At 46.1% G+C, this 22,933-nt stretch overlaps 2 protein-coding genes and 1 pseudogene across 14 annotated transcripts in view, besides 12 other annotated features; 2 read left to right on the forward strand and 1 right to left on the reverse strand.

Annotated features, from left to right (window-relative positions):
* The window catches only part of PUS7 (pseudouridine synthase 7), a 65,771-nt gene extending 58,103 nt beyond the window's left edge, over positions 1 to 7,668 (reverse strand). For all 8 annotated transcript variants that reach the window (XM_047420533.1, XM_017012367.3, XM_047420532.1 and 5 more), the window contains exon 1: positions 7,449 to 7,668. The gene's annotated coding sequence lies outside the window, so the exon portion shown is untranslated. The remainder of the gene's footprint in view (positions 1 to 7,448) is intronic.
* Positions 5,563 to 6,180: an enhancer, noted in NCBI's record as "H3K4me1 hESC enhancer chr7:105160613-105161230 (GRCh37/hg19 assembly coordinates)". NCBI's record gives its function as "activates a minimal SCP1, AML or CMV promoter by ChIP-STARR-seq in primed H9 embryonic stem cells {active_cell/tissue: H9 hESC(primed)}" and the evidence as "EXISTENCE:reporter gene assay evidence [ECO:0000049][PMID:30033119]".
* Positions 6,495 to 7,149: an enhancer, noted in NCBI's record as "H3K27ac hESC enhancer chr7:105161545-105162199 (GRCh37/hg19 assembly coordinates)". NCBI's record gives its function as "activates a minimal SCP1, AML or CMV promoter by ChIP-STARR-seq in naive H9 embryonic stem cells {active_cell/tissue: H9 hESC(naive)}" and the evidence as "EXISTENCE:reporter gene assay evidence [ECO:0000049][PMID:30033119]".
* Positions 6,495 to 7,796: a biological region, named in NCBI's record as "H3K27ac hESC enhancer GRCh37_chr7:105161545-105162199".
* Positions 6,692 to 6,837: a silencer, noted in NCBI's record as "fragment chr7:105161742-105161887 (GRCh37/hg19 assembly coordinates)". NCBI's record gives its function as "represses an EF-1alpha promoter that drives an FKBP-Casp9 reporter gene in an ReSE screen in HepG2 liver carcinoma cells {active_cell/tissue: HepG2}" and the evidence as "EXISTENCE:reporter gene assay evidence [ECO:0000049][PMID:32094911]".
* Positions 7,047 to 7,796: a silencer, noted in NCBI's record as "silent region_18522". NCBI's record gives its function as "represses an Ori minimal core promoter by ATAC-STARR-seq in GM12878 lymphoblastoid cells {active_cell/tissue: GM12878}" and the evidence as "EXISTENCE:reporter gene assay evidence [ECO:0000049][PMID:35858748]".
* Positions 8,433 to 8,933: an enhancer, noted in NCBI's record as "H3K4me1 hESC enhancer chr7:105163483-105163983 (GRCh37/hg19 assembly coordinates)". NCBI's record gives its function as "activates a minimal SCP1, AML or CMV promoter by ChIP-STARR-seq in naive H9 embryonic stem cells {active_cell/tissue: H9 hESC(naive)}" and the evidence as "EXISTENCE:reporter gene assay evidence [ECO:0000049][PMID:30033119]".
* On the forward strand, positions 15,587 to 16,142 carry LOC100131785 (ring finger protein 181 pseudogene; annotated as a pseudogene).
* Positions 16,879 to 16,928: an enhancer, noted in NCBI's record as "active region_26463". NCBI's record gives its function as "activates an Ori minimal core promoter by ATAC-STARR-seq in GM12878 lymphoblastoid cells {active_cell/tissue: GM12878}" and the evidence as "EXISTENCE:reporter gene assay evidence [ECO:0000049][PMID:35858748]".
* Positions 17,216 to 17,793: an enhancer, noted in NCBI's record as "H3K27ac hESC enhancer chr7:105172266-105172843 (GRCh37/hg19 assembly coordinates)". NCBI's record gives its function as "activates a minimal SCP1, AML or CMV promoter by ChIP-STARR-seq in primed H9 embryonic stem cells {active_cell/tissue: H9 hESC(primed)}" and the evidence as "EXISTENCE:reporter gene assay evidence [ECO:0000049][PMID:30033119]".
* Positions 17,379 to 17,678: an enhancer, noted in NCBI's record as "active region_26464". NCBI's record gives its function as "activates an Ori minimal core promoter by ATAC-STARR-seq in GM12878 lymphoblastoid cells {active_cell/tissue: GM12878}" and the evidence as "EXISTENCE:reporter gene assay evidence [ECO:0000049][PMID:35858748]".
* RINT1 (RAD50 interactor 1) overlaps positions 17,598 to 22,933 on the forward strand; it is a 35,477-nt gene continuing 30,141 nt past the window's right edge. For 5 of the 6 annotated variants that reach the window (NR_144478.2, NM_021930.6, NM_001346600.2 and 2 more), the window contains exons 1-3: positions 17,598 to 17,754; positions 18,221 to 18,266; positions 21,962 to 22,146. Coding sequence is in view for 2 of the 6 variants with exons in the window: in NM_021930.6 (NP_068749.3) it covers positions 17,713 to 17,754; positions 18,221 to 18,266; positions 21,962 to 22,146 (273 nt within the window). In the remaining 4 variants the exon portion in view is untranslated. The remainder of the gene's footprint in view (positions 17,755 to 18,220; positions 18,267 to 21,961; positions 22,147 to 22,933) is intronic. The other variant, NM_001346599.2, reaches the window with a different exon arrangement.
* Positions 17,769 to 17,948: an enhancer, noted in NCBI's record as "active region_26465". NCBI's record gives its function as "activates an Ori minimal core promoter by ATAC-STARR-seq in GM12878 lymphoblastoid cells {active_cell/tissue: GM12878}" and the evidence as "EXISTENCE:reporter gene assay evidence [ECO:0000049][PMID:35858748]".
* Positions 17,769 to 18,370: a biological region, named in NCBI's record as "H3K27ac hESC enhancer GRCh37_chr7:105172844-105173420".
* Positions 17,794 to 18,370: an enhancer, noted in NCBI's record as "H3K27ac hESC enhancer chr7:105172844-105173420 (GRCh37/hg19 assembly coordinates)". NCBI's record gives its function as "activates a minimal SCP1, AML or CMV promoter by ChIP-STARR-seq in primed H9 embryonic stem cells {active_cell/tissue: H9 hESC(primed)}" and the evidence as "EXISTENCE:reporter gene assay evidence [ECO:0000049][PMID:30033119]".

A 22,933-nucleotide genomic window follows, 5' to 3' on the forward strand; every position in this document is an offset into this window, starting at 1 on the left:
AAAAAAAAGAAAAGAAAAGAAAAGAAAAGAAAACAGAATCTAAAAGCTGTTGGAATCCCCAAAACACTTTTTAAGCCTTGAGAGAGATGTGACTATGATCTGAGTCACATATGGTTACAATTTGTTTTTCAGATTACAGATTAGCTTACTTTCATTTTTCCTGTTCCATATAATAACTAAAAATTCTCTCTCATTTTTTTTTTTTTGAGACGGAGTCTCGCTTTGTGCCCCAGGCTGGAGAGCAGTGGCGCAATCTCGGCTCACTGCAAGCTCCGCCTCCTGGGCTCACGCCATTCTCCTGCCTCAGCCTCCTCCCGAGTAGCTGGGACTACAGGCGCCCGCCACCACGCCTAGCTAATTTTTTGTATTTTTAGTTGAGACTGGGTTACACTGTGTCAGCCAGGATGGTCTCGATCTCCTGACCTCGTGATCTGCCCGCCTTGGCCTCCCAAAGTGCTGGGATTACAGGCGTGAGCCACCGCGCCTGGCCTACAATGACTAAAAATTCTTAATTAATGACCCTTGTTAGAGAGGAACTTTCCCTTTGGTGTCCTGCTTATGCTTAAACCGTATGACAGAAAACCCATAACTATTACACCTTCCCCAATGTACTCTCCCCAAAAAGAAACACTGCCTATAACCAATCAAATTGCTGTAACTATGTGAAAACCCTGTACGAAAAATGTTGTAATCCTGCTAAAAACTCCTGTCTCTGCCTATATAAAACCTAAACTTCCCTACTTCAGAACTTTGACTCCATTTTTTTAGAACTGGTGTTTCCAGGTGGGACATCCTCAAACTTTGCACTTGAATAATTTCTCTTTGTACTAGATTCTGACGTTTTTGATTATTTTAGGTTGACAACAGGCCTTTAGGTTGCCAGTCTTTTTCTTGATATTTGTGGACATTTGTCTGATCTCTTTTTCTTGATATATCTAACTGAAAAGACAAGAATAAACTAAACTCACTTTTAAATTTCAAATGAAATTACATTTTTCATTGTTTAAGTCAATGGCCCTATCATAGACAAATTAATTTTTTTTTGACACAGAGTCTTGCTGTCACCCAGGCTGGAGTGCAGTGGCACAATCTCGGCTCACTGCAACCTCCAACTCCTGAGTTCAAGCAATTCTCACGCCTCAGCCTCCTGAGTAGCTGGGCCCGACTAAGTTTTGTATTTTATTTTATTTTATTTATTTATTTATTTATTTATTTATTTATTTTGAGACAGAGTCTCACTCTGTTGCCCAGGCTGGAGTGCAGTGGCATGTTCTTGGCTCACTGCAACCTCTGCTTCCTGGGTTCAAACGATTCTCCTGCCTCAGCCTCCTGAGTAGCTGGGATTACAGGCGCGTGCCACCAAGCCCAGCTAATTTTTTGTATTTTTACTAGAGACGGGGTTTCACCATGTTGGTCAGGCTGGTCTCAAACTCCTGACCTGGTGATCCGCCCACCTCAAACTTGTAAAGTGCTGGGATTACAGGCGTGAGCCACCACGCCTGGCCTAATTTTAGTATTTTTAGTAGATACCAGGTTTTACCAGGTTGGCCAGGCTGGTCTGAAACTCCTGGCCTCAAGTGATCCACCCACATTGGCCTCCCAAAGTGCTGGGATTACAGGCATGAGCCACCGCACCCGGCCCAAATTAATTATTAAAGTATATATAGTACCAATGATTTTTAAATCACTTAATATATATTTTTCTAAGTTCTGTCCTATAGGCCTAAAAGCGGAGAGCATATTTACTAGAAGAACTGTTCAGAGCTCTGGACTAGGAAAGGCAAAACTCAAACTAGTGTCATTTTCGCAAGCAGGAACTACGTGAAAGGGAAGCTGAAATGGAATTTTTTTTTTTTTGAGACGGAGTTTTGCTCTTGTTGCCCAGGCTGGAGTGCAATGGCGTGATCTTGGCTGATCTCGGCTCACAGCAACCTCCACCTCCCGGGTTCAAGTGATTCTCCTGCCTCAGCTTCCTGAGTAGCTGGAATTACAGACGCCCGCTACCACGCCCAGCTAATTTTTGTGTTTTTAGTAGAGACGGAGTTTCACCATGTTGGTCAGGCTGGTCTCGAACTCCTGATCTCAGGTGATCCATCCACCTCGACCTCCCAAAGTTCCTGGGATTACAGGCGTGAGCCAGTGCGCCCGGACTGGAATATAATTTTTAAATTGAGGGTTGGGGAGAGGAGAGAGAGGTGATCTTATGAACATAGAAGAGGCCTGAGAGAATTAAATTGCAAAGAGAAAACAAGCCTGACTACCCCAAGGTGAGAGGCCCAAGGAAATCAGTTTTGCAGTCAGGAAAGCCCAAGCATTCTATCTTGAATGAAGATATAAAGTTACTAGATGTGAAAAGGGGGGAGAGGGCAGTTTTATGCATTTTTTGACATATTTAAAAGAAAAAATTTTAAGAAAACATGCTGCACAAATACACTATCCATGATAGTAATGATGGTATCTTAATTGTCAAGTAAAACCCCATAGACCAGAAGCCTGATGTTAAACCAGGAAGAGAATGAACTCCTCTGATACTTTCCCCAAAACTTAAAATCCTTCACATTTCTTTTTTTGGCGATGGAGTCTTACCCTGTTACCCAGGCTGGAGTACAGTGGTGTGATCTCTGCTCACTGCAACCTCCACCTCCTGGGTTCAAGTGATCCTCCCGCCTCAGCCTCCCAAGTAGCTGAGAGTACATACAGGCATGCGCCAACACGCCTGGCTAATTTTTGTATTTTTAGTAGAGACGGGTTTTCACCATGTTGGCCAGGCTGGTCTTGAACTCCTGACCTCAGGTGATCTGCCTGCCTCGGCCTCCCAAAGTGCTGGGATCACAGGCATGAGCCACCACGCCTGGCCAATCCTTCACATTTCTTTGGAGGGAATGCTAAAATAATGTTTTTTGTTTCCTCTGCACTCCAAATGAGACAACTGAGAATAGAAATATTATAATTTTAACAGTATTTTAAAACCCTTTTCATTAAAATACTAGATTCACCAACTAAGCTTTAAGAAGTACTCTTAGCTGGGCATGTGTGCATGTAGTCCCAGCTAACAGGGCGGCTGAGGCAGGAGGATTGTGTGAGACCAGTTTAAGGCTGCAGTAAGTTATGATCACACCACTGCACTCCAGTCTGGGCAACAGAGGGAGACTTCATCTCTGAAAAAATGCAGGCAGGTAGATGGCTTGAGACCAGGAGTTTGAGACCAGCATGGACAACATAGTGGGACCATGTCTCTGCAAAAAATTAAAAAATTAGCCAGGCAGCTGGGTGTGGTGTCTCATGCCTGTAATCCCAGCACTTTCGGAGTCCGAGGTGGGCAGATCACAAGGTCAAAAGTTCGAAATCAGCCTGGCCAGCATGGCGAAACCCCATTTCTACTAAAAATCCAAAAATTAGCCATGCATGGTGGTGTGGCCCTGTAATCCCAGCTACTCAGGAGGCTGAGACAGGAGAATCGCTTGAACTGGGGAGACAGAAGTCGCAGTGAGCCGAGATTGCGCCACTGCACTCCAGCCTGGGTGACAGAGGGAGACTCTGTCTCAAAAAATAAATAAAAATAAGCCGGGCAAGGTGGCATGCACCTGTAGTCCCAGCTACTTGTGAGGCTGAGGTGGGAAGATCCACTGCGCCCAGGACGTTGAGGCTGCAGTAAGCCGTGATGGTGCCACTACACTTCAGCCTGGGTGACAGAAAGACCCTGTCTCAAAAAAAAAATAAAATCCTTTACACCTATAACAAAAATTAAGTTTAGCATTTTCAAAATTTTAATATAACACTAACAACAGTCTCTTGTTTGTTTATTTATTTATTTTTTGAGACAGTGTCTCACTCTGTCACCCAGGCTGGAGTGCAGTGGCGTGATCTCAGTTCAATGCAGCCTCGACCTCCCAGCTCAAGCGATCCTCCCACTTCAGCCACCCGAGTAACTGGGACTACAGGCATGTGCCACCATGCCCAGTTAATTTTTGTATTTTTTGTAGAGACAGGGTTTTGCCATGTTGCCCACTAGTCTCAAACTCCTGAGCTCAAGTGATCTGCCCTGCCTCAACTGGGATTACAGGTGTGCACCACCGCCCAGGCCAAACAGTCCCTTATTAATTAATTCCTCCAAAATAAACATCAGAAAAACAGCCATTAGTCTTTTTTTGAATTATTTTTTATTTTATTTTGTATATTTTTTGAGACGGAGTCTCACTCTATTGCCCAGGCTGGAGTGCAGTGGCGCAATCTCGGCTCACTGCAACCTCTGCCTCCCGGGTACACGAGATTCTCCTGCCTCAGCCTCCTGAGTAGCTGGGATTACAGGCGCCCGCCACAACACCAGGCTAATTTTTTGTATTTTTAATAGAGATGGGCTTTCACCGTGTTATCCAAGATTGTCTCGAACTCCTGACCTCATGATTCGCCCGCCTCGGTCTCCCAAAGGGCTGGGATTACAGGCCTGAGCCACCGCGCCCAGCCTACAAAAACAGCCATTAGTCTTAATTCTATCATATTATATTTCAAAACTATCCACAACTTTCACTTTGTAAATACATCTTTCCTCCATCCCCTGCAAATTATCAGTAATCTCTATAGCTCTCACAATAGTGAGCATTTTCTTTAGGGCCAGAGCACAGAGAACACACTAATTTTTTTTTTTTTGGAGATGGAGTTTTCCTCTGTTGCCCAGGCTGGAGTGCAGTGGTGCAGTCTCGGCTCACCGCAATCTCCACTTCCAGCGTTCCGGCGATTCTCCTACCTCAGCCTCCCGAGTAGCTGGGATTACAGGCATGGGCTAAAATTACCACATCCAGCTAATTTTTGTATTTTTAGTAGAGAGGGGGTTTCGCCATGTTGGCCAGGATGGTCTCAAACTACTGACCTGACCTCAAACGAGCTGCCTGCCTCGGCCTCCCAGAGTGCTGGGATTACAGGCATGATGTCACCAGGCCCGGCAGACACACTGCATTCTAATATGCAAAATCATTAAGTCTATGAGGGTCATTCATTCTGCAAATATTTACTGAGCAAGTGTCCTATGTGTCTGGCATTGTTGTAGGTACTGGAAGAAAAGGGTAATACCATTTCCTGTCCTCATGTAGCTTACAATGTATTTGAGAATATATCTGAGAACAAAATAAATCTCAGGACATGCGAGCTCCAAAGAATTAAAACAGGGTAAGGGGCTGAGAGTAAGAGGGGTGTTCTTCAGTGATGCCTCGTCTAAGGAGGAGACTTCTGAGCAAAGACAAGGAAGAACCAGACAGGAAAAGATGTGTGTGAGGAGAGCTCCAGGCAGCCCGAACAGCACGTGTAAAGGACCTGAAACCGGAGCAAACTTAGTCGACAGTATGACCAGCTGGATTGTTCTCTCTCTCTCCTAGGTAAGGAAAAACGCTGCTTCATTAATACAGTACATGCATGCCCCTGCCTCTATCAAAAGACACGTTCAAGGCCGGGTGTGATGGCACACGCCTGTAATCCCAGCACTTCGGAAGGCTGAGGCGGGTGGATCACCTGAAGTCTGAAGTTCAAGACCAGCCTGGCCAACATGGTGAAACCCCGTCTCTACTAAAAATACAAAAATTAGGCGGGGCGCGGTGGCTCACGCCTGTAATCCCAGCACTTTGGGAGGCAGAGGCGGGCAGATCATGAGGTCAGGAAATCGAGACCATCCTGGCTAACACAGTGAAACCCCGCCTCTACTAAAAATATAAAAAATTAGCCGGGCGTGGTGGCGGGCGCCTGTAGTCCCAGCTACTCGGGAGGCTGAGGCAGGAGAATGGCGTGAACCCGGGAGGCGGAGCCTGCAGTGAGCCGAGATCGCGCCACTGCAATACATCTCCAGCCCTCAAGCTGGGTGAATGCTTAACGAGTGGATGGAGGTGCTGCCTCTGCAATACATGTGGGCGACAGAGCGAGACTGTCTCAAAATAAATAAATAAATAAATAAATAAATAAATAAATAAATAAAAATACAAAAATTAGCTGGGCATGGTGGCGTGCACATGTAATCCCAGCTACTCCGGAGGCTGAGGCAGGAGAATCGCTTGAACCCAGGAGGCTGAGGTTGCAGTGAGCCAAGATCGTGCCATTGCACTCCAGCCTGGGTGATGGAGTGAGACTCCGTCTAAAAAAAATAAATCAAAAAACAAAGATATGTTCAAGGCCGAGTGTGGTTGCTCAAGCCTGTAATTCCAGCACTTTGGGAGGTCAAAGCAGGAGGATTGCTTAAGGTCAGGAGTTTGAGGCCAGGCTGGGCAACACAGCGAGACCCTGTGTGGTGGCACATGCCTATAGTCCCAGCTACTTGGGAGGCTGAGGTGAGAGGATTGCTTGAGCCCAGGAGTTCAAGGCTGCAGTGAGCGATGATCACGCAACTGCACTCCAGCCTGGGCAACAAGAGCAAAATTCTGTCTCAAAAAAATTAAAAAAATAAAAATAAAAAAACCAAAAACATGTTCACAAGGAGTTGTTAAGTACGTACTGTTGGCTACTTTCCTAATGTTTGAACCTAACAATTGCCTAACCAACCCCTTTTCAATAGTGTTGTACAGTCTGATTTTCGACAGATCCCTCAATAGTCGAGGCTCCCCCAGGCCAATGGGGCATAGTCATTTCATAGATGATTAGAGGCTTGGGGATGGGGGGGAGGGAACCTTAGTAACCCTTTATTTTTGGAATGGAAAAAAAAAGTAGTCTGACGGGACCAAATATTTTAAAAACTAAACTCTTTGCCAACCCTACTCGGCAGGCAACGAAGGTGTGCTTCTAAACACCTCTGCGCAGGGCTGACGAGGAGGACTCGAATTTCAGCTTGCACAGCAGCACCTCCATCCACTCGTTAAGCATTCACCCAGCTTGAGGGCTGGAGAAAGCACTCTGAGTCTGCAGCCCGTCCACTCCTACTCTGGGAAATGCATACAAAGCAAGCAGTCCCCAGAGCCCGCGTGGCGCCTAGTAGGCTCCCAGTGAGCGGCGACGCAGGACACAGGGGTGGAACACGTGGGCTGGACCCACAGAAGGCAGGCGCGGCGAAGCAGTGGCACCGTGAAGGGCTTCAGGGCCAGTGTTCCTCTGACGGAGGGACAAGAGTTTAGGGAGCGTCCGGGGCAAAGAAAGGGAGGAGTGGGAAGGGGGCCCCCGGGGGACAGCGCCGCGCGGGGAGGAGGGGAGCGCTCGGGCGCGGCGCCTCCGGACGACTGGCCGGGCAGAGCGGAGCGGGGAGCGGGGAGCGGAGAGCGGCGCCTGCACCGCCGAAGCGCAGGACCCACTGGGTTCCAACCGTGCTCCCGCTGGCACGATCCATAATGGAGGCGCCGCGGGCTCTGACCACTGCGGGGCCGCCTTCCCAGTCCGCCTTCCCAGTCCGCACTGCCTCTTGGGGCGGGGCCCTGGGGCTGGGGCTGGGGCCAGGGCCAGGCCGAGGAGCCCCGGCGGCCGCGGGGAGGCCGCGCACTTACCCGGAGCCTGGGAGCGCGGGCGCGGCGTGAGCTGGGCGGCGAGGTGGCCAGCGCTCTGGTTGGGACGCAAGAGAGCGGCGAAGGCCACTTGGATGAGCCAGCGGCTAGGGCGGCCAGGCAAAAGCAGCGCTTTCCGCGCGGAGGACCAGATGCGCTCCAGCCGACTCACCGGCGGCCGGGCTCGCACACGTGCGGCGCAGCGACGCGCCGCGGCCCGACTGGACCCGCCCCGGGGGCGGAGTCCGCTCCCTGCCGCCGGCCCCGCCCCCGGCCCACCCACTCGGAGCGGCCTGCAAGCCAGGGAGCGCCCCAACGCGGACTCCCAGCCTACGCGCGTTCACCCTGGACCTTCCTCGCGACCGCGCCTGAGTCGCACCAGCGGCAGAGAGCGATTTCACCAAGCATCTAAGAGTTCTTTAGATCTTTAGGAAGTCTAAGGCAGCGATTGCCTCCTTTGGTGTTATATTCTAAGTGTTTCCTTCACATAGTTGTGGCCCTTTCACGTTGCACCGACCACGCAGTTGACAATAATGGAAAGAGAATCACTTTAGGGACTAAATATTGTTCTACATTTGATCCTGGGAATGTAGTGGATCTAAAAGCACCATCTTCCTACTTCTTACCGCTCTGGCTTGATGGCTTGCCATAGGATCTGCTTCAAGAAACCGGATCATAGGTTTTTTTTGTTTTGGTTTGGTTTGGTTTTGACAGAGTCTCGCTCTGTCGCACAGGCTGGAGTGCGGTGGCGTGAACACAGTTCACTGCAGCCTCGACCTCCCAGGCTCAAGCAATCCTCCCACTTCAGTATCCCAAGTAGCTGGGACTACAGGTGCATCCCACCGCACCCAGGCTAATTTTTTTGGGGGTGGGGGGTAGAGACAAGATTTCACTATGTTGCCCAGGCTCTAATAGTTTTTTTGCTTTTTGTTTGTTTGTTTGTTTTTTGAGACGGAGTCTTGCTCTGTCGCCCAGGCTGGAGTGCAATGGCGCGATCGCTGCTCACCGCAACCTCCGCCACCCGGGTTCAAGCGATTCTCCTGCCTCAGCCTCCCGAGTAGCTGGGATTACTGGCGCACGCCACCATGCCCGGCTTATTTTTTGTATTTTTAGTAGAGTACGGGGTTTCACTATGTTGGCCAGGCTGGTCTCGAACTCTTGACTTCGTGATCCGCCCGCCTCCGCCTCTGTGTTGAGATTACAGGCGTGAGCCACCGCTCCCAGCCTCTAATAGTTTTTCCGTTTTGTTTTATTTTGTTTGAGAGAGAGTCTCACTCTGTTGCAGGGTTCAAGCGATTCTCCTGCATCAGCCTCCCGAGTAGCTGGGCCTACGAGTGCTTGACATCATGCCAGACTAATTTTTTTGACGGGGTTTTTGCCTGTTGGCCTTGAACTCCTGACCTCAAGTGATTTGCCTGCCTAGGCCTCCCAAAGTACTGGGATTATAGGCATGAGCCACCATGCCCTGCCCAATTTGTTTTTTTGTTTTGTTTTTTACACAATGAAATATACTATTACCGGCCGGGCGCAGTGGCTCACGCCTGTAATCCCAGCACTTTGGGAGGCCGAGGTGGGCGGATCATGAGGTCAGGAGTTTGAGACCAGCCTGGCCAACATGGTGAAACCCCGTCTCTACTAAAAATACAAAAAATTACCCAGACGTGGTGGCACGCGCCTGTAATCCCAGCTACTTGGGAGGCTGAGGCAGGAGAATCGCTTGAACTCAGGAGGCGGAGGTTGCAGTGAGCTGAGATCGCACCATTGCACTCTAGCTTGGGCAACAAGATGGAAACTCTGTCTCAAAAAAAAAAAAAGAAATATATTATTACCATACAATTCAGCAATTACACTCCTTGATATTTACCTAAAGGAGTTGAAAACTATGTTCACACAAAAACCTGCACAAGTATGTTTATAGCTGCATTATTCATAATTGCCAAAACTTAAGGACGGGCCGGGTATGGTAGCTCACGCCTGTAATTCCAGCACTTTGGGAGCCCGAGGTGGGCAGATCACGATGTCAGGAGTTCAAGACCAGCCTGGCCAAGATGGTGAAACCCCCATCTCTACTAAAAATACAAAAATTAGCCAGGCGTGATGGTGGGCGCCTGTAATCCCAGCTACTCAGGAGGCGGAGGCAGAAAATTGCTTGAACCCAGGAGGCAGAGGTTGTGGTGAGCCAAGATCATGCCACTGCACCCCAACCTGGGGGACAGAGTGAGACTCCGTCTCAAAAAAAAAAAGACCAAGATGTCCTTCAGTAGCTGAATAAACTGTGCTGTATCCAAACAATGGAATATTATTTGGTGCCAAAAAGAAATGATCTTAGCAAGCCATGAAAAGACATGGAGGAAACATAAATAAATATTTTTTATTTTATGTATTTATTTATTCTGAGATCTAAATAGATAAGGTGATCTGCCCACCTCGGCCTCCCGAAGTGCTGGGATTACAGGCGTAAGCCACCATGCCCAGCCTTAAACGCATATTACTAAGTGAAAGAAACCAATCTGGGCCAGGCATGGTGACTCAGGCCTGTAATCACAGCATTTTGTGAGGCTGAGGCAGGTGGATCACTTGAGGTCAGGAGTTCGAGACCAGCCTGGCCAACACCGTGAAACCCCATCTCTACCAAAAATACAAAAAATTAGCCAGGCATGGTGGCACACACCTGTAATCCCAGCTACGCGGGAGGCTGAGGCGGGAGAATTGCTTGAACCTGGGAGGTGGAGGTTGGGGTGCGTCGGGATCATGCTATTGCACTCCAGCCTGAGCGACAGAGTAAGACTGTCTAGAAAACAACAACAACAACAACAACAAAAAAAAAAAACAAAAAAAATCTGAAAAGGACACGAGCTATATGAATCCAACTAAATGACAAAATGACATTCTAAAAAAGGCAAAACTATATAAGACAGTAATAAAATTAGTGGTCGCCAGGAGTTAGGAGAAAGGGAAGGATGAATAGGTGGAGCACAGAGAATTTTTAGGGAAGTGAAACTATTCTGTATGATACTGTAATGCTGGCTGTATGTCATGATACATTTGTCCAAGCCCATAAAATCTACAACAGGGGTCCCCAGCCCCCCCAAGTCACGGACTGGTACCAGTCAGTGTGGCCTTTTGGGAACCAGGCTGCACTGCAGCATTCCCGCCTGAGCTCTGCCTCCTGTCAGATCAGTGGTGGGATTAGATTCTGATAGGAGCGAGAACCCTACTGTGAACTGCACATGTGAGGGATCTAGGTTGCATGCACCTTATGAGAATCTAATGCCTGATGATCTGAGGTGTAACAGTTCATCCTGAAACCCATTCCTACCCCCTAGTCTGAGGAAAAAATGTCTTCCATGAAACTAGTCCTGGTGCCAAAAACATTGGGAACTGCTGATCTACAGAACTAACAGTGATGTAAACTATGGACTCTGGATGATAATGTGTCAATGTAGGTTCATCAATTATAACAAATGTACCACTTTGGTGAGGGAGAGGCTATGCACGTGTGGGGTCAGGAGGTATATGAGAAATCTCTATACCTTCCTCTCAATTTTGCTGTAAACTAAAACTGCTCTAAAAAAGTAAAGGCTTAAAAAAAAAATCTCTGAGAGGCTGGGTGCAGTGGCTCACACCTGTCATCCCAGTACTTTGGGAGGCTGAGGCGGGCGGATCACAAGGCCAAGAGATCGAGACCATCCTGGCCAACATGGTGAAACCCCATCTCTACTAAAAATACAAAAATTAGCTGGGTGTGGTGGCACTCACCTATAGTCCCAGCTACTTGGGAGGCTGAGGCAGGAGAATCGCTTGAACCTGGGAGACGGAGGTTGCAGTGAGCTGACATCTCACCACTGCACTCCAGCCTGGTGAAACAGCGAGACTCCGTCCCAAAAAAAAAAAAAAAAACTCTGAGAGTGCAGCCCAACTCCTCATAAACAGATTTAGAGGAAAGATTTTTCACATTTCTTTGGCCATTTCTAAGGTTTCTTAGACAAACCTTACTCGTTTTGCATTTTAGCCAAAACTGCCTAGGTCAAGGTACAAGTGAAACATGGATTTTTAGTTTTCTGTTTTCCAAAATGGGCAACTCTTTATTGGTTTTTTAATTAAAATAACACAAAAGTGTTCAAAACCTCTTCCTAGTATCAACTTCTTCTAATAAACATGTAACAGTTGAATGTTGTCTTCAACTTCAAAATTCCATTCTAACACGTCTATTATGTATAACGTACAGTATCCTGCTTTTAACTCCACCTCACACTACAGATTGCTAGGTGCCTATCACACACACTTTCTCTCTTCTTTCATCCTTATTATTGACTACTATGCTGTCCACTTCGGATGCCTTTCTCCATGCCCCAGATAGTAGTTCACTGTTTTCTGTGTTCCCTCAGTCATTGCCAACATTTCTGTTGTCAAAACTATACACTTAATCTTAAATTATTTATTTACCTATTTCCTTTATCAGAAAGTGGATTTTTCAGAAGCCAAAATTTGGGTTTAGGGCATTATTTTTTCTCCTTTAATTTTATTTTTAATTGTTATCAGAGTTATACATGTTGTAATTTAGAGTCAAATAATTCTGTAGAAACTTTGTAAGGTTTGCAATGAAGCAGCAGGGACTGTATTCCCACTTCAGCCCTCACCTGTTTCCATCTTCTCAAAAGCAGTCATTTCACCTCTTTTTTTTTTTTTCTTGAGACAGAGACTTGCTCTGCTGCCCAGGCTGGAGTGCAATGGCATGATCTTGGCTCACTGCAACCTCCGCCTCCCACGTTCAAGCTATTCTCCTGCCTCAGCCTCCTGATTAGCTGGGACTACGGGTACATGCTACCATGCCTGGCTAATTTTTGTATTTTTAGTAGAGATGGGTTTTCGCTATGTTGGCCAGGCTGGTCTTGAACTCCGGACCTCAGGTGATCCACCCGCCTTGGCCTCCCAAAGTGCTGGGATTACAGGTGTGAGCCACCGCTCCCGGCCCATTTCACCTCTTTTAACTAATTTTTTTGATATTTACCTTAATCTCTCCATGTAATGTGTTTGTATTGTTATTTCTTGATTTTTCACTTTTAGACATTATTTACTGACTTCACTTAATGGAAAATAAAGATTTAGCTCTCTTTCCTTCCCCTTTCTCCACCAAACTTTCCATTCCTTATACTGTCCTTTTTTTGGATTTATGTTTACTTCATTATGACTAGGTAAATATCATTCACATTTTAGGCAAATAAGAAACTATGATTACTTCTCTTCTGTACTGCTTTTGTTTTTCCTCTAGTTAATAATTATCTTATTTTAGTTTACTATTCATCACTAGACCAAGCCCAAACCCCTCAATGATTGTGTAAATCTCCCCTTTCCAGAGGTTTAGATGAGGTGTTCTATTTTCATCTTTCTGAAGCAGTCTCTTCTGGAACCTCCTGGCCTACGCCAATCTACGCCTATTGCACAGTTGTTCTCAGGGCATCTCTGTTCCTGTATTGAATCTTTCTGTTTCCTATATCCTATGTCATCTTTATTCTTGGTTTACTCTCTTATTTTAGTGGAGTACAACCTTCAGTAGCTTCCCGAGAAAGGAGAAATAAATGAAAGCTTGCTGGGCGCGGTGGCTCACACCCGTGATTCCACTTTGGGAGGCCAAGGCAGGCGAATCACCTGAGGTCAGGAGTTCGAGACCAGCCTGAGCATGGCAAAACCCTGTCTCTACTAAAAATACAAAAACTAGCTTGGCATGGTGGTGGGCGCCTGTAATCCCAACTACTCGGGAGGCTGAGGCGGGAGAATTGCTTGAACCTGGGAGGCAGAGGTTGCAGTGAGCCAAGATCGTGCCATTGCACTCCAGTCTGGGTGACAGAGTGAGACTCTGTCTCAAATAAATAAATAAATAAATAAATAAATAAATAAATAAATAAAACAAAAGCTAAATTTTTTGAGATCTTTAATGTCTATTTTTATTCTTGACTACAAGAGTGTTAAAAAAAACCCCACATTTTTATTCTAACCTCACATTTGATTCATAGTTCACTAATTAAGTACAGAATTCCAGTTTTTGGCCAGGCGTGGTGGCTCACAACTGTAATCCAGCAATTTGGGAGGCTGAGGCGGGCAGATCACTTGAGGTCAGGAGTTTGAGACTAGACTGGCCAACATGGTGAAACCCCATCTCTACTAAAAATACAAAAATTAGCCAGGTGTGGTGGTGCACACCTGTAGTCCCAGCTACTTGGGAGGCTGAGACAGGAGAATCACTTGAACCTGGGAGGCAGAGGTTGCAGTGAGCTAAGATCTTGCCAATAAACTCCGGCCTGGGTGACAGAGTGAGACCCCGTCTCAAAATAAAAACAAACAAACAAAGTGTGGGAAGATAAATGTTGATAAATGTTCTAGGAAAAAAAAGCAAAAAACAAAACAAAACAAAGAAAAGGCCAGGCACAGTGGCTCATGCCTATAATCCCAGCACTTTGGGAGGCTGAGGTGGGCAGATCACCTGAGGTCAGGAGTTCAAGACCAGCCTGGCCAATGTGATGAAACCCCATCTCTACTAAAAATACAAAAATTAGGCGGGCATGATGGCGGGCACCTGTAATCCTGGCTACTAGGGAGGCTGAGGCAGAAGAATCACTTGAACCCCAGAGGCGGAGGTTGCAGTGAGCCAAGATCGTGCCACTGCACTCCAGCCTGGGCAACAGAACGAAACTCTGTCTCAAAGAAACAAACAAACAAATAATAAATAATAAAAGGGGCACTCACTTGTGAAAATGGGGAGGATAAAAATAAATAAATAAAATAAAAAGAGCATTCAGAGAACAAAAAATATGACAGCAGAAATTAAAAGCCTCCTGGGTTCAAGCAATTCTTGTTCCTCAGCCTACTAAGCAGCAGGGACTATAGGTGCACGTGCCACAATGGCCAGCTAATATTTTGTATTTTTAGTAGAGACCAGGTTTCACCATGTTGGCCAGGCTGGTCTCGAACTCCTGGCCTCAAGCGATCCACGTGCCTTGGCCTCCCAAAGTGTTGGGATTACAGGCGTGAGCCACTGCACTTGGCCTATCTTTCCACTCTTGAAATTTTAATTTCTGCTGTCATATTTTTTCATCTCTGAATGCTTTTCTTATTTTATTTATTTTTACCCTCCCCATTTACAAGTGAGTGCTCCTTTTATTATTCATTTATTTATCTATTTAATTATTTATGTTTGAGACAGAGTTTTGCTTTGTTGCCCAGCTGGAGTGCAGTGGTGTAATCTCGGCTCGCTGCAACCTCTGCCTGCTGGGTTCAAGAGATTCTCCTGCCTCAGCCTCCTGGGTAGCTGGGATTACAGGCTCCCACCACCAGGCCTGGCTAATTTTTGTACTTTTAGTAGAGACAGGCTTTCACCATGTTGGCCAGGCTGGTCTTGAACTCCTGACCTCAGGCAATTTGTTCTGCCTCAGCCTCCCAAAGTGCTGAGATTACAGGCAGGAGCCACCGTGCCCAGCCAATGCTCCTTTTAAATAGTATCCTTTTCTCTCATATGTGGGAGCTTAACATTAAACAAATTGAATTCAAGGAGATAGAGAGTAGAATGATTGTTACCAAAGGCTGAAAGGGTAGCAGGGAGGAAGGCATAAATTGGGGATGGTTAATGGGTCCAAAAATACAGTTAGGGGCCAGGTGCAGTGGCTCATGGCTGTAATCCTAGCACTTTGGGAGGTCAAGACAGGAGAATCGCTTGAGCTCAGGAGTAGAGCCCAGCCTGGGCAACATAGCGAGTCACTGTCTCAACAAAAAAAAGTTAGCCAGGAATGGTGGTGCCAGTCTATAGTCCTAGCTACTCAGGAGGCTGAGGTGGGTGGATCCCTTGAGCCCAGGAGTTTGAGGTTACAGTGGGTTATGGCTGCACCACTGCACTCCTGCCTGGGCAACAGAGGGAGAACTTGTCTCAAAAAACAAACAAAAAAACCAAAACCAAAACAAATGACGACAACAACAACAATAAAACAGAGTGACTACAGTTAATAATTTATTGCATATTTTAAAATAACTAAAAGAGTGGAATTGGACTGTTCCTAACACAAAGAAATGATAAATTCTCAAGATGATCAATACCCCAGTTACTCGGATTTGATAGTTACACATTGTATACCTGTATCAAAACATCACATGTCAGACGGCTGGGCAGCCATGGCGTCCTATATCGATGAACACGACTGTGAGCCGTTGGACCCTCAAGCAGGAGACTCGAACCAACATGGTGCTGGAGCTCGTAAGGTCACTTTTGAATAGGATGGACTTTGAAGACTTGGGGTTGGTAGTAGATTGGGACCACCACCTGCCTCCACCGGCTGCCAAGATTGTGGTTGAGAACCTCTCCAGGACAGTCATCAGAGGCTCTCAAGGCTGAGCTCAAGTGCCCCGTGTATCTTTTGGAATCTGAGGAGGAGACTGCCATTGAGATGCTTCCCAACACCTTTTTCATTCCAGTTGCATTCTGCCCTGGCTAAGCAAGACAAATTCCTGTCCCTTGTGCCGCCATGAGCTGCCCACTGATGACTACACTTATGAGGAACACAGACGAGATAAGGCTCGAAAACAGCAGCAGCAGCAGAACCGACTGGAGAACCTCCATGGAGCCATGTACACGTGAGGAGGCTGGGGCTGAGCGCCGGTCCTCTGTGTCTTCCCTACAAACCTTGAATCCTCATTAAAATTTCTTTACCCGTCCCCCGCCCCGCCCCAGAAAAAAAGGCCGGGCGCAGTGGCTCACACCTGTAATCCCAGCACTTTGGTACGCCAAGGCGGGCAGTTCACCCGAGGCCGGGAGTTCGAGACCAGCCTGACTAACATGGAGAAACATCGTCTCTACTAAAAATACAAAATTAGACGGGCGTGGTGGTGCATGCCTGTAATCCCAGCTACTTGGGAGGCTGAGGCAGGCGAATCGCTTGAACCTGGGAGGCGGAGGTTGCTGCGAGCAGAGATAACGCCATTGCACCCCAGCCTGAGCAAAAAAAAAACAAACACACATGTACACTATAAATATATACGATTATGTTCCCATAATAGGTAATTTAAAAAATAGTATCCTTGTTTTTTTTTTTTTTTTTAAATGAGACGGAGTCTTGCTCTGTCGTCCAGGCTAGAGTGCAGTGGTGCGGTCTCTGCTCACTGCACGCTCCACCTCCCGGGTTCACGCCATTCTCCTGCCTCAGCCTCCTGAGTAGCTGGGACTACAGGCGCCCACCACCACGCCTGGCTAATTTTTTGTATTTTTAGTAGAGACGGGGTTTCACCATGTTAGCCAGGATGGTCTCGATCTCCTGACCTCGTAATCTGCCTGCCTCGGCCTCCCAAAGTGCTGGGATTACAGGCGTGAGCCACAGCGCCCAGCCATCCTTGTTTTATGCTTGCAATAGTAATTTGTAGCTCGATTATATATCTCTGTGCACATGTATTTGATTTTTCTTCTCACCGTGTGGTTTCTTTTTCCTCTGAGGGTTGCTTTCCCCCCCCCTTGTTTGTTATGGTCTCTATGGTACTCCTTCCGTGTTAGTTTGTTTAAGAGGCTGTCAAGTCCACAGGTCCTCTACACAACCCTTGCTGCTAGGTAGCTCCCTTTCCTCCTCCCTGGTAAAAGACAGGGTTTTGGGCGAAACACATGTTAGATGCTCTGTTCTCTTCATTCAGCTCCCAGAACGCTTATAACCACCTCTACACCCTCTAGGCAGGAAATCAGAAGCTCATCTCTAGGGACTCTGACCAACGTTAAAAGAAATATCTAAAGATACTGACATTCATTGGAAACCCCCAACTAAATATTCGAACCAAATAACCCTGCACCGAAGCTCCTAGTCAACAAGCCCCCCACACTCTCAGAACATCTGGATATTGCCTAAAATATAAATTTAAATTATTCATATTGAATTTAAGGCGTTGGGAGAGGGATATCTTAAAGTTCCATCATTAAGAGCTTCAATAAAGTGGAGGGGACTTTTACCGCGGTGGAGTGAGCGAATCCCTTCTCTGGAGCTCCATAGGGGAGGGTGCCCGCTTCCTGAGTGGCCGTTCCGACCTCCGGTCAGGAGGGGGAGGAACAGAGCACGGCCGGCGGCTGCACGGGCAGGGCCTCTCTGGGCTGAGAGGAAGAAACCAGTGAGACATCGAGAGGAAGTCGCTGTGGCACTCAGTCCTACGGCCTCCGAGGCTGGGTAGTGAGTGTGTCGCTGGCCTTAGCCAGACTCCACAGGCCACGCTGGCTGCGAATGGAGCCGAGGACTCGCGCGGAGGCGAGATGCTACCAGCCGGCGAGATCGGCGCCTCTCCTGCAGCCCCGGTGAGACGGCCCTGGCGTCCCTGGGAGGGGACATTGGTGGCCCATTGAGGTGGCACAGACCTCCCGGGGGAGATAGTCCCGGTGCGGTGGCCCTGTAAGCTTGTGAAGGTGCTTCCTGCGGCTTAGATTAGAGGCCCTTGTAAGACCTCCTAGAGGAGGCGGTAGTCCCCGTGAAGTGGCTTTGGCGGCCCTGGTGAGATGACAGATTTCTCTAGGGAGGTGGCTCTAGTGAGCAGGCAAGGTAACTCCAGGTCCTGCGGAGGTGACACACACCTCCTGGGAAGGTGGCGGTGGCACCAGGACAGTGGCACTTTGAGGTACCTGATTCGGACGGCCCTGGTCGCTCAGAAAGTGGGAGAGCGTCTGGAACCTCTCTTGCCTCCAGTGGGTGCCCTTTGGGAGCCCCGTATGCTTTCCATCCACGACTTTAATCTTAATGTGCTTGTCACATCTGTTCTTCTTCTAGTGCTGCTCTGAAAGTGGTGACGAAAGGAAGAACCTCGAGGAGAAAAGTAAGCCAGCTCCAAACACCTTAGCTTTTTCTTCCCGCCCAAACTCAGCCTTCCAGGGTCTGCAATATAGAAAGGTTCTTTGCCTATCTTTTAGATGCAGTACCGTTTTCTGCACAATATGCTTATATGGTAATACTGATGACCATGATACACATATTTTTGTCTTTCTAAAATTGTAAAATATGGGATGCTTTGGAGAAGAGCACTTCCCGATCCATACCTAGTACAGGGACTAGAGTGTTTTCGCTGGAAGTCTGCCTATCATACAGTACTCAGAATAATTGGGGCCTGCCTGTCATTTTAATGAAACATCAACTTACTAAGCATCAGGAATTTGGAGGGGCCCATGATCTAGGACAGACGACCACCACCCTAATTGGGTTCAAAGGAGGCAAATGACAGTTGTTTAGTTCACCTTCAGTAAATTGGCAATTTAAAATTGCTCTGGCAAGAGCACAACGGATAACTTGGGTTCTGGATCTTGGACTGGACAGGAAAGGGGGAAAAGGTCAGTACCACCATTTCCTCCCTAGTACGGGAGTATATGTCAGGGTTGTGGACTTTTGCCATTTTACTTTGATGGCAGGTTATTGCAAATCAAGGGCTCTTTAGGGACCTTTGAAGTGACATTTTTTGGGAGAGGAAGGGGAAAAGCATGTGATAGCTCTGCTATTGGGATTTTTGGTTCTTTTGACTGTGGCAAACAGTTGGGAATGTGTAGCAGTAAGAAAAACGGTGCCCACATTAGCACATGGCCCTTAGGAGTAAGATTTGCCCTTAACATTAGCGGCTGATAGAATCTGCCTCAGAAAGAAGGCTCTGAGCAGTCCATAGCACATGACTGTCATAACTGCCACATCTCAGCTCCTTTTTCTTGAAGGATTTCAGAGTGCCTTGTATCTCTCAGTTAAACCCTTCCCTTTCCATTTTCCACCTTTGCCTCATTCAGATGCCTGGAAAGTAGTCTGATGCCTACTGAGCTGTCATTTTAATAAAATAATAGATGTAGACTATCATATCAAGGACTTTGACCTTGTTCCTCTTTCCACAGCTCAAACTGCTTTGCAGTTAGGAGTGCTCTTTACAAAAAATAGAAAAGGAGACACATAAAAACCTCCCAAACCACCGGTGTGTCATTTTGAAGAATGTCATTTCACTAAGAATGTACTATGCCACATTTGAATGGTTACACATCAAGGGTGTAATTTTTTTTTTTTTTGAGACTTAGTCTCACTCTGTCTCTCAGGCTGGAGTGCAGTGGCGCGATCTCGCCTTACTGCAAGCTCCGCCTCTGAGTTCAAGTAATTCCCCTGCCTCGGCCTCCTCAGTAGCTGGGATTACTGGTGCCCGCCAAACACCCGGCTAATTTTTGTATTTTTAGTAGAGGCAGGGTTTCACCATTTTGGTTAGGCTGGTCTTGAACTCCTGACCTCAGGCAATCCACCGTCCTCGGCCTTCCAAAGTGCTGGGATTATAGGCATGAGCCACTGTGCTCAGTGGGTGTAATTTTTTTTAAAAAATGAAGGTAGAATTTCCTCCCTAAGATACAGCAACTTTAGCATTCACAAAACATTTCCTGCCTCCATTTATCTGCAGATACACCACACAAATCACTTGTTTTATTTAAGATTTAAAAAAGGCATTGTGAGTTCTGTACATAATAGTAGATTATTATACGTTAATATTATATATAATTATATAGTATAATTAATATATAATTTGTATTATATAGTCCCATTTATAACCTTGAGATATAGGCTGGGGCAAATGTTACAATTTGTTTTCTAGTTGGAAAATTGAGGCATAGTGTTATGTTAATATTGCCTCTCCTACCCTCTAAATTGTCAATTTAAAATTGCTCTGGGAAGGCACAATGTATAGCTTGGGTTCTGGATCTTGCACTGAACAGGAAAGGGGGAAAAGGTCAGTACCACCTCCTGATTCTCACAGCATGTGAAAAATCTTTTAATTTAATTCATATAAGTTAAGTAGAACAAAGGAAATTTTGTTTGTTGGGGTGTAGGGGTGGAGACAGGAACATACTCTGTATAAAACATTGGTATATATTCTGTTAATCTTTACATAAATAGTTGACCAATATCTGACATTTACATTTTGCACTTAGGCATATCATTATTTAGATATTAATATTAATAAGCCTAATGTGTATTGGACTTATTAAATGTCACAAAACAGGTAGTTTATTTGCCATGGAAAGAATCTCACTTTATACTATTTAGTGGTTGCATTTGTCATTTTGATTTTTTCCTAGTAATTTGTTCTCTCATATTTTCTTTTTTCTGTTTCTGACAAAGATATCTTTGTACAATGACATCGATGACATTTGAAGCTTAAAAACCTTTTTTTTTTTTTTTTTTGAGGCAGAGTCTCACTCTGTTGCCCAGGCTGGAGTGCAGTGGCGTGATCTCGGCTCACTGCAACCTCCGCCTCCCGGGTTCAAGCGATTCTTCTGCCTCAGCCTCCCGAGTAGCTGGGACTATAAGCGTGCACCGCCATGCCCAGCTAATTTTTGTATTTTTAGTAGAGACAGGTTTTCACCATATTGGCCAGGCTGGTCTCGAACTCCTGACCTTGTGATCTGCCTGCCTCAACCTCCCAAAGTGCTGAGATTACAGGCCTGAGCCACCTCGCCCAGCCAAACCTTTTTTACTTTTTTGTTTGTTTGTTTGTTTGTTTTTAAGAGATGAGGTCTTGCTCTGCTGTCCAGGCTGGAATGTAGTAGTGAGATCATGGCTCACTGCAGCCTCCATCTCCCAGGCTGCTCAAGCAATCCTCCCACCTCAGCCCACCTGAGACTACAGGTGTGTTCCACCATTCCTGGCTAATTTTGTTAGATGAAGTCTTGCTTTGTTGCCTAGGCTGGTCTAGAACTTCTGGGCTCAAGTGATCCTCCTGCCTTGGCCTCCCACAGTGCTGGGATTACAGGTGTGAGCCCCTGCGCCCGGTCTTTTTAAAAACACTTTAAAACAAGAGTCTTCTTTTGGTGTTGCCCTAGACCATACTACTGGTTCCTTACACATTTTGAAAAGGTATTATTCCTTGTCTATTGAAACCTGTGGTTACTGGATCACACTTTAGGAATTTTTCCTTTAATACTTCCCTCAGCTCTTAAGCATTTTGCAGTAGTTGTTTGATAGAGTGCTTTAGAGCTATTCTTCTGGGCATTTGTCTGTGTGTGTTGTTCTTTAAATTATTAACTTTGTTTTGTTTTGGTTTTGTTTTTTGATACAGAGTCTCTGTCGCCCAGGCTGGAGTGCAGTGGCGCTTTGTTTTGGTTTTGTTTTTTGATACAGAGTCTGTCTGTGTCGCCCAGGCTGGAGTGCAGTGGTGTGATCTTGGCTCACTGCAACCTCTGCCTCTTGGGTTCAAGGGATTCTCGTGCCTCAGCCTCCCGAATAGCTGGGACTACAGGCCTGTGCCCCCACGCCTGGCTAATTTTTGTATTTTTAGTAGAGACGGGATTTCGCCGTGTTTGCCAGGCTAGTCTTAAACTCCTGGCCTCAGGTGATGCACCTGCCTCAGCCTCCCAAAGTGCTGGGATCACAGGTGTGAGCCACCGTGCCTGGCAAAATTATTAACTTTTGAAGGCAGATAAACTGCTTTTATATGTTTTATATTTTCTTTAACTCCATAGTACTTAGTGGCGTTGAGTAATTGTTATTCTTTTGTTGTAGGTGACATAAATGTTACAGTTCTTATTGGAAGTAAACAAGTCAGTGAAGGTACAGATAATGGTGATCTCCCTTCTTATGTGTCTGCATTCATAGAAAAGGAAGTTGGAAATGACCTTAAATCTTTAAAGAAACTTGATAAACTCATAGAACAGAGGACAGTAAGTAAAATGCAGTTAGAAGAACAGGTAAGTATTGAAACTCACTGAAATAATTATCAGTGGAATACTTTTAACAATATAATATAAACATAATCTATTATATATAGAATTTTAAAGATATAGAACGTGACAAATAGTCTATTATATACTGTTTAAGAGGATTTAAGAACGTACATTGTATTACCTATTTTACAAATTAGGTAAAAGACAAAGTTCCTACTGATATGGTTTGTCTTCAAAACATAGTGAGACCTAACATTTTACATAGATTTTCATAGAGTGACTTTTTTTTCCTTTCAATCTGTTTCTAGTGAACATACAGTGACTTTTAAATTGCTTTTACAAGCAAATAATTTCATGGCATACAAAAATATATACCATGGTGTAAACACCATCATTTCAATTTTTTTTTTTTTTTTTTTTTTGAGACGGAGTTTTGCTCTTGTTGCCCAGGTTGGAGTACAATGGCGCCATCTTGGCTCACTGCAACCTCTGCCTCCCAGGTTCAAGCAATTCTCCTGCCTTAGCCTCCCATGTAGCTGGGATTACAGGCATGTGTCACCCTGCCCAGCTAATTTTGTATTTTAGGTAGAGATGGGGTTTCATCATGTTGGCAAGGCTGGTCTTGAACTCCTGACCGCAGGTGATCCACCTGCCTTGGCCTCCCATAGTTCCGGGATTACAGATGTGAGCTGCTATACCCGGCCACATTTCAGATTTTAATAAATGTACCCATAGGGAGAAGTATAAAGTGAAAAGAAGTATAACGTAACGGTTATTTCTGTGTGGTTGGTTGACAAGTGATGTATTTAAA

This window comes from Homo sapiens, chromosome 7 (genome assembly GCF_000001405.40).
Source record: "Homo sapiens chromosome 7, GRCh38.p14 Primary Assembly".
Classification (NCBI taxonomy): domain Eukaryota; kingdom Metazoa; phylum Chordata; class Mammalia; order Primates; family Hominidae; genus Homo; species Homo sapiens.